The sequence below is a fragment of the Homo sapiens genome, chromosome 14, assembly GCF_000001405.40.
Source record: "Homo sapiens chromosome 14, GRCh38.p14 Primary Assembly".
NCBI lineage: Eukaryota > Metazoa > Chordata > Mammalia > Primates > Hominidae > Homo > Homo sapiens.
This window is the reverse complement of record NC_000014.9, coordinates 106430249-106442669: the sequence shown is the minus strand read 5'-3', so window position 1 is coordinate 106442669 and position 12421 is coordinate 106430249. Positions and strand designations below refer to the sequence as shown.

Below are 12421 nucleotides of genomic sequence, written 5' to 3'. Positions count from 1 at the left end.
TCCCACCTTGGCCTCCCAAAGTGCTGGGATTACAGGCATGAGCCACTGTGCCTAGCCAAAAAAGACTTCATTATTATAGGAGGAAAAATTCTCATCTGCAAGTGTCACTGATGGAAGCAGAAAAATTGCCCAGGAAGTCAGGTGAGGCTGTAGACACTGTCAACCCAGGATGCAAATCTCACCACAAGTGCAGGAGAAAGGGCAGGGGGTTGATGGATCATCCTAACTAACGTATGGTTTAAGCTGAGCCCAGCAAGACCCTCAGTGCCTCCCTAACCACAGTTGCCCTTCAGGGATAACCCATGTGCTCAACAGCAGCCACACCTTAGTATCTCCACTGTGCAGTCATTGTCTAGGACAAGCTCCCAGGATGTGGGGCTTTGGCACAAACCAGGTCATGGATGTCAGAGAGGGGCAGCTGGGTGTCTGGTCCATAGGCTCCCTGATGTTGGAGGGTTGAGAGGTGCATTCTCTGGGCCAACATATACTCTAGGGATATTTACTTCAGAACACATACTTTTATTTGTTGGTTTATGGTTAATGGGGTATTCATCCCTTCAATCATTTGTCCTTTGATTTACAAAAACATTCCAATTTCACTTTGGAAGTAATTTTATTATGTGCAATTAAGTCATTATTGATTATAGTCACACTATTTTGCTACTAAATAGTAGGTGTTATTCATTCTTTCTAACTCTGTATTTTGTACCCATTAACCATATCCACCTGTTCTCTGGCCCCCACTAGCCTCCCAGACTCCAGTTACCATCCTTCTACCATCCATGTTCCTGAGTTTAATTCTGTTGATTTTTAGAGCACACACATAAGTAAGAACCTGCAATGCTTTTTTTTTCAGTGCCTTGTCTTTTTCACTTAACATAGTGACCTCCAGTTCCATCCATGTTGTTGCAAATGACTGGATCTCATGGAATACCTAATTTTATTCGGTTCTTTCATATGACGTAGAGAAGCAAGCATGCAGTCTACAAACAACTGTAATTTTCACATTTACCCCAAATGAATTATTACTTATTTCTGTGCAGGGTCCAGGCACATAGTAGCCTTTCTCTTGAGGGACTGTTAAATTTAGAGTGAGATCACTTGTTTCTCATATTATTTGATTCCTGTCCATGTGCAGAGATCTTAAGTAATCTGCTTCTTTCTGCACACTAACTCTGACCTTCTCGACAAAAAGAGTAGAGATTTTCATGTTTCCTGAGTCTGGGGTAGGAGTTAGTCCTACACAACTCAGAGCCTGCAGAGACCTCCCAGTGCAGTTTTATAGACACAGGTGCTTTCTCATGGGGGGTGAGACCTCCACTTCCTGTGATTGCTGCTCAGATCTAACTGTGATTTCAGATTTAGGACACCATTAGGCTCTCAAACCATTTCTATTCTAAAAATCAGCCTCATCATAGAAAATGGAAATAATTCAATATCCATTTCCCTGACCGTATTTCATCCTTGTTTTTAATTTGGTGCAAGTTTATTACATATTTGCCTGAATCTAACTTCAGAATCAACTGAATTGGTCTAGAAATCTCAAAAATTGAACAGAAGTGGATTTTATTATTTTTACCAAAATGTGTGTAGGTAGGGTTTCCAATGTATCGTCCAGAACTTGTGCATGCTAACAACTGTTTTTCTCAGTCAATTATCAGCCTGGTGAAGCCCTTGCAAACCCCCTCACTCACCTGTGCTGCCTCTGGATTCTCTGTCACAATCAGTGCTTCCTGTAGGCACTGGATGGAAAGCACAGGAGTGGGTCAGGTGCATACGTGATGAGTGGAGGATGAATTCCAGCCCACTTATCATGAATTCAGACAAGCCCACATGTTCCCACATGCACTATATCTTCAGACAAGCAGATGTGTCTGCACATGAATTCTTCTTTCAGACAAACACGTCTGTCCCCTCATGGACTCTTGCCACACACAAGCACACGTGGCTTCTTGTGGACTGTACTTTCAGACAAGCACACATTGTTTCATGTGGACATCTTCCTCCCACAAATGCATTTTCCCCTGAGTAGACTCTTCTCCCACAAGCCCATATGTCCGCACATGGACATTTCTCACAGACAAACACCCATTTCCCCATGTAGTCCCTTCCCTCAGACAAGCACACGTATTCCCAGGTAGACTCTTCCCTTAGACAAGCACAGATGTTCCCATATGAACCCTTCCATATGACAAGCACACATGTTCCCATGTGAACTCCCGTATAACAAGCACACATATTTCCTCACGGGCTCATCACTCAGATAGGTCTGCATGTCCACATGTGGACTCTACTCTCAGACAAGCCCACAGGTCCTCACATGGACTCTTCTCTCAAACACCCGTTCTCCATTGTAGACTCTTCCCTTAGACAAGCACGCATTTTCCCATGTGAACTCTTCTGCATGGGAAGCACACATATTCCCACAGGGACTCTTCTCTGAAACACCCATTCTCCATTGTAGACTCTTCCCTTAGACAAGCACGCATTTTCCCATGTGAACTCTTCCGCATGGAAAGCACACATATTCCCACAGGGATTCTTCACTAAGACAAGCATGATTGTCTCCACTGTGACCCTTCCCTCAGAGAAGTACACTTGTCTACATATGGACTCTTCTCTCAGACAAGCAAACATGTCCCCACGTGGACTCTTTCTTCTGACAAGCACACGTGTCCCCGTGTTGTTATAATCATTTTCTCACCTCTGTCTCACAAAGTTCCCTGTCCTCCAAGAATAATTTTGACCTCTCACTTCTCATTCACACTATGGTGATTGGTGCACAGCATTTTCACCCAAGAGAAATGCAGGCAGCTCTCAGAATTTATTGTGATGGAGGCAGGAAGACAAACACAAAGATAAAACTTGTCGCTACCTTGCTGGGCTGTGTTCTGTGCAGAGTCTCTGAAGGCTGCCCTGGGGCTGTGTCCTAAGCTGTATCTCTCTGATTCCACTAGGAGAATGCACATAGAGAAATTCAAGCTGAATGGTGTCCTGATCCCTGCCTCATTCTGCTATTCTTCCCTATTCCTCAGAAATTCACCCAACATTGCCCTCTGTCTTGTATTGTCTACATTCTCACAGACTCTCTCATAGAACTTCAGCTTCAATGGTCAGAGCCCTGGTCACTTCTTCCCAACTCTCCGCACATGCCAAGTGCACATTAGAGACTCAATAATGAGGCTCACCAGGGGCAGTAGTAGTTTCATCTATCACAGTGGAGATGAAAATCCATGATTTAAAATAGGTTTCTAAAAAAGAAAATATGTCTCACATCAAACACAAATGAGAGAATGCAACGGCATAATTCATTTTCAGGTTTTTCATATGTAAATCTCCTAAAGTGCATAATTTAGTTTTTAGTGTGGTTCCTGATCCATGAATCCTTTTGCCTTCTTCATTATCTTTCATTCAAACAAACAGAGACCATACCCACTGTTCACAGTGTAGCCTCATGGAGAACATCTTCACCAGTCAGCCCAGTCAGTGAGTGAGGCCTTTAAATCCTTCATGCTAATTCAAATTTCTGGCTTTATTCTTAGTAGACCCCAGGTTTTCGGGGATGTTGGGTTGTGCCAGCACTCCTAAATAAGGGAGATAGAAATTATTTCCTCAGGCATCCTCTTGCAACATTTGGACAATTGGCCATAGTTTGATTATTGAGGTGTGATGCATCAAAATAATGTTAGTTCAATCTTCTCTCAACCAGTCATTGAACATTGAAATTTTGTAATTATTTATTTGGATATCTCTGAAGTTTACCTCTTGAATATTTAAGTCATATTATAAATAGTTTAAGCTGCCTACTAGGTAAAATGATCTGCTGCAGAATTTTGACTTCCTTGCTGTGCATTTTTGCATTTAAATTCAAGTTTCTATTACTCGTGTGTCTAGAATGTAAAAATACGTCTTACATTTTCTCGAATTTTTCATTTCACTGGAGTTTCCAGAAGATGAGAAAACCTCCCTTGTGTATAAAATACCTGGTAACACATTGCTCAATAGTTTCGTTGCTGAGACCAGCTCAGTCGGGAGACCCTAACCCAGCGGTGCTAGAGGAATTAAAGACACACACAGAAATATAGAGGTGTGAAGTGGGAAATCAGGGGTCTCACAGCCTTCAGAGCTGAGAGCCCTGAAGAAAGATTTACCCACGTATTTATTAACAGCAAGCCAGCCATTAATATTGTTTCTATAGATATTAAATTAACTAAAAGTATCCCTTATGGGAAATGAAGGGATGGACCGAATTAAAGGGGGTGGGTCTGGCTAGTTATCTGCAGCAGGAACATGCCCTAAGGCACAGATCACTCATGCTATTGTTTGTGGTTTAAGAACGCCTTTAAGCGGTTTTCTGCCCTGGGGGGGCCAGGTGTTCCTTGCCCTCATTCCGGTAAACCCACAACCTTCCAGCGTGGGCATTATGGCCATCATGAACATGTCACAGTGCTGCAGATATTTTGTTTGTGGCCAGTTTTGGGGCCAGTTTATGGCCAGATTTTGGGGGGCCTGTTCCCAACATTTCCTCTTTAATTTTTTTCTCCTCTCATATTGTACTGTTATAAGCAATGAGATATCAGGACACATCATCAACACTTTGCTAAGAAATATCTTCAGCTAAATTCCCAGAGTGTCATATACTAATCCTAATTTTAACTAAGGTAACATAATTAAGATACATTCTATAACAAGTCACACATTTTATCCAGTATCCAGTAACATGTTTGTGACAGAAACAAAGCAGGTGCTTCCTCTGCAAAGGGTCATCTGAGGTCTGAGTTGAGGGTCACACAGGTATTTTTCTGGTTTACAAGGGTGGGAACAACAACAGTAATAACGACTCTGAACAGCACTGGCCCTTCCTTGAAAGGTTGCAGGTAAAGCTACTGCTGCTATATCAAATTAACACCTTACTAGAATAAAGCCCAGAGGGAGGGTCCACATGCTAGGTCACAGAGTGAGGAGAAATGGAGCTGTGCTCTGCTCTCCACACTACCTACAAGACCCCAGACACACGCCCAGGTTCTACTGATGCAAGGCATCTACAGTGCAGTTCTAAGGCACCTGCTTCCTGGGGCAGGGAGCATCCTCCTGTCAATTGTGCACCTGCTCCTTCTGCAAGCTATTAAGTGAGCACTTCTATTGCCATGAATTATACATGTTCTCTCTCTTAACATGTATATTGAACATGCTTACTTACTTTGCATTTTATTTTTCTCTGAAATACACTGGATGAGCAGAAGAAAATAAATCACACCCCTGATGCTTTCCACACATACAAAGATTCCTGAAGACAGAGCTGACTGATATCCTCACCAGTAGACCACTGCCTTTCAGAGATGATCTTGGTATTCAAGTTCCAGCAATTCTTGAAGTTAAAGGGCACCTCTATCTCCTCTCCACTGCTTTGCACCTCACCTGATATCAGCTTTCTCATTAGAATGCCTTGTGTTTAAGGAATGAGAGTTCCTGTCACAGGTGCAAAGGCCCAGGTTCTCCCGCTGGCTCCAGTCCAGGGCTAGGGACACCTGTAAGACCATGATATCATCTGATACATAACCTTTACATCATAAGCTTTACATAACTTTTACATACATAACATCACACATAGCATTCAGGATACACACATCAGATCACCTTTACATGCTCTAACATGTAAAGATTAGGAAAGTCATCAAGCTCATTCTTATGTCAAAAAACATCTGCACAATTTGAACATCAACAATTTTTGAAATCTATCAAGGAATTGAAATTGCAAGGGAAATTACCCATTCCAAATACTGAAGATACAGACATGTCCAGGATCAGAGGTGACACTGGCTGAACTGGAAAAGAACTTGAAGAAAGCACGAGTTGGTGAGAGCACACACATGGTAAATGCTATGAAAGCCTAAACGGCAGATGTGGACTAGGGTGAGATTCCTGGGGACCTACACTCCGTAGTCTTCTGAACTTTCCTTCAAAATCTTCCAGATTCTCAGGTATACAATCCAAATAATTTTTTTATGGGTCTGAATTGGGGAGGATTAATTACCGAGAAATGTACCAAGAGCCTTCTAAAAAAAAAAAATCCTGTAGGAAATGAGATTTTCCAGAACCTGGAGGAACCTACAGTTCCCTAAAGACAGACACTGAGGAGAATAAATCTCGACAGCGCCACCTGGAGGTGGAGGTGAAGAGCTTCCTGGAGGAGCTGGACGGGAAGATCCACGACCTGAATGACTCTCGCCCAGGCCTCCCAAGCTGGGCACCGACAACTAGGGCTGGTGGAGGCCCGGGATCCCCACCGTGAGTCCCAAGCATGTGTGCGAGACCAGATGGCGCTAGGACGTTCCCTGTGTGCGTTGCTTCTGTAAATGCAGACGCAGTTTGTCGTGTTTCCAAACCAGTTGTGCCGTCCACTCACTCCTTTCCAGAGTAGAAATCTCCTCTCCGCCGGGCGCGGTGGCTCACGCCTGTAATCCCAGCATTTTGGGAGGTCGAGGCGGGCGGATCACGAGATCAGGAGATCGAGACCATCCTGGCTAACACGGTGAAACCCTGTCTCTACTAAAAATACAAAAAATTAGCCAGGCGTGGTGGCGGGTGCCTACAGTTCCAGCTACTCCGAGGCTATGGCAGTAGAATCGCTTGAACCCGGGAGGCGGAGGTTGCAGTGAGCCGAGATCGTTCCACTGCACTCCAGCCTGGGCGACAGAACAAGACTCTGTCTCATTAAAAAAAAAAAAAATAGGCTTTAGGAAGTAGCTCCTAGATGGGCAGAATCGGTTTAACCCTGTGTGTCCACAGGATCTGGAGCCTCTCTCTCCTTAGATTAGGCCACCTCCTCAGGATTACAGGGCTCTTCAGTTTTCTCAACATGCTGTTGTTGCCCCAAATAAACACAAAAGCACTTTATTTTCTTATGCTTACCTTTAATTTTTCAAAACAACATAAAGGTGATAATTTTAACAATAAACATATTACAACCTACTATACATGATACCCTTCCTGTAGTTCGAGGTTTATTCTCAGGAATTTATATGTATTACTTATTTTCAATTGCTTTCTGATATGGGATGTCAATGCCACTTTATTACAGTCTTTATTCTTTTAAGTTATCTCTAAAATCTCTAAAAATTAATCTTTCCAAAGCACCACTCAAAACCAGTGTATTATTAGAACTTGTGGGTGTAATCGTTGGACCAATATTAAGAATAAATTCTTAATGGACTAACTCAGATATAAAATTTCTGTCCTTCCTCTCTCTCTACATATATACATAACGACTTTGAGGTTTCAGTTGAATCAGTCCATTCATTGAATGTATGACAATAGGTTGATCTAATTGTATACGTTAAATAGCATGAAGAAACCTCAACAATAGCAAAAGTAGCCCCTTACCAAAAACAGCTCTATAATGTTAGATTCCACTTATGAGAAGTTCAAAAGAGAAAAACATGGATCTGTATTGTCAGAAATCTAAACATTTCCGCACGCAGGAGCTGACCACAGGCACAGGAAGACCTGTGTTGGGGGATGGACTTGCTCTTCGGTCTACCTTAGGTGCCGGGGACAAGAGTATTCACGTTTGCCAGAAACTCTCTAGTGACAAATTCCAGATCTATGCATTTCCTCTTATATGTAAATTTTCTCATAAAAACAAAAAATAATGTATAAAATAATTTAAAATTCAGAACATAATAAAAATGACATTACATGCCTATCCAAAACATTCAGTAATGAACATTATTATATGAATTAATAAAATGCATTCAAATATACCTACTGAAATTAACTTCTGGAAAATAAAAAGATAAGGGTAACATCCGTAACTTAAAAATTAATAAGCATATATTTCATAGAGAAGAAAAAGGTAGTCAAGACATATGTGGAATGTGTATTCTTTTTTCCAATCAAATGTCATTAAACTATTTAAACAATTTTTTAACCTGTGTCATAAGTATAGATTACTAATATTTGTCTGATATTACAATGTGAACAAGTTTTAAAGAAAAAAGGATATTTGACAGCATGTGAACTAAATTGAATTTATTCTTAATATTGGTCCAACGATTACACCCACAAGTTCTAATAATACCCTGGTTTTGAGTGGTGCTTTGGAAAAATTAATTTTTAGAGATTTTAGAGATAACTTAAAAGAATAAAGAATGTAATAAAGTGACATTGACATCCCATACATAACAACATATTGATCTATTTTTTGTTGATGGACTTTAAATTTGTTTCTAGTTTATGAATATTATAAGCAAAGCTGTTACAAATACCTTAGTGTAAGTTTTCCTATGTTGTCTCATTTTTATTGTGAAAACATGACGTATGCATTTCTTTCTTGTAAGAGTAATTTTAACTTTTTTCAGTTTCATTGAGGTATATTTGAAAAAATTTTTTAAAAGTATATGGTTGAGGAACAATGCACCACTTGATGCTTTGTCTTAGGCCATTCTCACATTGCTATAAAGAAATGCCTGAGACTAATTTGAAAAAAAGAAAAAGATGTTTAATTGGCTCATGATTCTGCAGGCTCTATAGGAAATGTAGTTGTTTATTCTTCTGGGGAGACTCAGGAAAGTTAGAATCATGGCAGAAGACAAAGAGGAGCAGGGCAATCACATGGCCAGAGCAGGAGCCACAGGAGGCGTGCAGCGGGGGGCGGGGCGGGTCTACACACCGTTAGACACCAGATCTTGTGAGAACTCATGCACTGTCATGAGAACAGCAGCAGGAGTTGTTGCTAAACCATTCATGAAAGACCTACCCCATGACCCAGTCATCTCCCAACAGGTCCTACTTTCAGGAATGAGGATTATAATATAACATGAGATTTGGGTCAAGATACGGATCCAAACCATATCAGATACACATTGTAAAATGATCATCGTAGTCAAGGTAATTTGTGTGTATATCATCTCACAGAGCTACAATTTTATTTTTTTAAATTTACTGCATATGTGTGTGTGTCTGATGAGAACATCTAAAATCTACCCTTTTAGCAAAAATCGTTTTTACAGTAAAGTATTAACTATAGGAACATTGCTGTACATTAGATTTCCAGAACTCATTCACCCTGCACAACTGAAACTCTGTACCCTTTGATCAACATCACCCAAATTCCCTCTCCTCCCAGGTCCTGACACCCTCTAGTCTACTCTCTTCTTTTAAGACCTTGGATATTTTAGATCCCACACGTAAATGAGATCATGAAGCATTTGTCTTTCTGCATCTGGCTTATTCCACTCAGCATCATGTCCTCTAGGCCCATCCATGTTATTGCAAATGTCAGAATTTCCTTCTTTTCAAAGCGTCATAAATTTAGTTTTATGTATACACATTTTATTTATACATTTATCAATGTATGACCCTTAAATTATTTTACAAATCTACACTATTATTAATAATCTTGCAATGAACATGTCTTTTGCATAATAATTTTATTTCCTTTTAATATATAACAAGAAGTGGAATCACTAGATCATAAGATAGTTTTATTTTCAATTTGTTAAGTAACCAATCCTACCACATCATATAAGGATTCCTTTTTCTCCACATTGTTGCCAACATTTTTAAAGTTTTGTCTTGCTGATAATAGCCATTTTAACTGCTTTGAAGTGATATATCATTGTGCTTTTTATTTGAATTCCCCTGATAATTAGGAATATTGATAAACTTTTCATTTTCCGTTTGCCATGTGTGTGTCTTCTGAAAAAAAAATCTATCCAGAATTTTGCCTTTTTTAATCGGGTCACTTGTTATTTGTTATTGAGTTGTATGGCTTATTTATATATTTTATTTGAACTTCTTGTCAGATATATAATTACACATAGTTTTTCCTGTGTTTTGGTATTAAATTCAAATAAATCAGTTCTGAATCAATGACAGGAAGTTTTTTCTTTTTCCATGTTGTCTATGAGTTTATGGTTTCAGGTATTATGTTCATTTTTAGTTGATTTTTATATCATGTTAGAGGAGGCCTAATTTTATTTCTTTTTATATGGATGCCCAGTTTTTACACCATTATTGAAAAGACTGTCCTTTCTCTACTGTGTGTTCTTGGCACACTCCATCAGGAAGAGACATAATGAAAAAAGTATATAAGATGAATATTCCTGATGAACATAGATCTAAAAGTCCTCAACAAAATACTAGCAAATAGAATCCAGAAGCACTTTAAAATGTAATACATCATGATCAAATGGGATTTACCCTGGGATGCAAGGTTCATTCAACATCCACAAATCAGTAACTGTGATTCGCCATGTGAGCAGAATAAAAGCAAAAAACATAGGATTATCTCAATAGATCCTGCAAAAGCATTTGATAGGATCCAACATCCACTCGTCATAAAAACCTTCAACAGACTAGGCATCAAAACATACCTCAAAATAATAAGAGCCATCTGTGACAAACTCAGTAAACATCATGCTAAATGAGCAAAAGCTCAAACACCTTGAGAACTGGAACAAGAGAAGGATACTGTCTCTCACTACTCCTATTCAATATAACACTATAAATCCTAGTTAGAACAATCAGGCAGGAGCAAAAATGAAAGGCAGCTGATGTGGTTTTGATTTGTGTCCCCACCCAAATCTCATGTCAAACTGTAATCCCCAGTGTTGGAGGTGGGGCCTGGTGAAAGGTGATTCGATCATGGGGTTGTGTTTTCCTCTCTCACGCTGTTCTGGTGACAGAGCTCTCAGGAGATCTGGTTTCTAAGTGTGTGGCACCTCCCCCTTGTCTCTTCCTCCTGCTCCTGCCATGTAAGACATGATGCTTCCCTTTCTGTCATGATTGTCAGGATCCTGATGCCTCCCCAGCCATGCTTCCTGTACAACTCGCAGAACCATGAGCAATTAAAACTCTTTTCTTTATAAATTACCTAGTCTCAGGTGTTTATAGTCTGAGAATGGACTAACACAGCATCCAAACAGGAAAATAAGTCAATCCATCTGTCTTCACTGATGATACAATTCTATGCCTAGAAAATCCCCCAAAGTAATTCTAGAATAGATAAATAACTTTAGTAAAGTGTAAGGATGCAAAATCAATGTACAAAAATCACCAGCATTTCTATATCCCAACCACATCCATGCTGAGAATAAAATCAAGAACACAGTCCTATCCCATGTACAATATCTTCAAAGAAAATGACATGCTTAGGAATGCAGGTAACAAACAAGATGAAAGATCTCTGCAAGGAGAACAACAAAACACTGCAGAAATAAATCATAAATGACACAAATAAATGGAAAAAAACATTTCATGCTCCTGGATTGGAGGAATCAATATTGCCAAAATGGTCATACTGCCCAAAGTAATTTGCAGATTCGATGTTATTTCCATCAAATTATTACCATCATTCTTCACAGAATTAAAAAACCCATACATATTCTAAAATATATATGGAACCAAGAAAGACCCTGAATAGCCAAAGCAATCCTAAACAAAAAGATCAATGCCAGAGGCATCATGCTACCAGATTTAACATTACAAAGTAAGAAAAACAGCTTGGTACTGGTGCAAGAGCAGACACACAGAAAAAAAAAAAGAACAAAACAGAAAACAGAAATAGAGCTACACACCTAAACCATTTGATATTTGATAAGGTTGACAAGAATCAAGCCATAGATTAAAAAAAAAAACTCCGTATTCAGTAAATAGTGCTGGGAGACCTGGATTCGGGCAGATATGCAGAATGCAACAGTGAAGGAGGCTGGGCAGTTTCTACCTTGATTTCAGATGTGCAGAGAGCCCTATGTGCCCAGGAAAAAGCTTGCTGCAGGAGTGGAGCCACCACAGAGAGCCTCTACTAGGGCAGTGCCAAAGATGTGGAAAGATGGGGTTGGAGCCCCCATTCAAAGTCCACACTGGGGCACTACATAGTGGAACTGTGGGAATGTGGCCACAGATCTCAAGACTGCAGAATGGTAGATCCATGGGCAACTTGCACCCTCAGCCTAGAAAAGCTTACAGCACTTGACTCTGACTCATGAATGGAGCCCCAAGGACTGCGCCCAGCAAAACTACAGTGATGGGCTGCCGGAGGTTTTGGGGAGCCAACACTTGTCCCACTGTGCCCTGGTTGAATTACATAAATTTGAGAGAGGTTATTCTGTAACTTTAAGATTTAATATCTGCTCTACTGGGTTATATGTGTGTGTGGGGGGGGGGAGCGCTGTTGGCCATTCCTTTGGCCAATTTATCTATTTTGGATTGGAATAATTTACCCAATGCCTGTACCATAATTGTACCTTGGAATACACAACATTTGCAATGTTTTTTTTTTTTAATTTTGCAAGCTCACAGATGGAGGGAAATTGCCTTAAGACTCAGATGAGACTTTAGACATTTGAGTTGGAGGCTGACCAAGTTAAGACTTTTTGTTATTTTAGTATTATTATACTTTAAGTTTTAGGGTACATGT

General features: G+C 40.0%; 1 long non-coding RNA gene, 1 pseudogene and 1 further gene across 1 annotated transcript in view; 2 read left to right on the top strand and 1 right to left on the bottom strand.

Moving 5' to 3' along the window:
- Positions 1–12421, top strand: part of IGH (immunoglobulin heavy locus) — a 1293408-nt gene that overhangs the window by 437175 nt on the left and 843812 nt on the right.
- Positions 1–12421, bottom strand: part of LOC124903400 (uncharacterized) — a 45163-nt gene that overhangs the window by 4018 nt on the left and 28724 nt on the right. The gene's annotated exons all lie outside the window — the stretch shown is intronic.
- Positions 1660–1736, top strand: IGHVII-40-1 (immunoglobulin heavy variable (II)-40-1 (pseudogene); annotated as a pseudogene). The gene is given in 1 exon segment: positions 1660–1736. A coding segment is annotated over 1 exon segment (77 nt).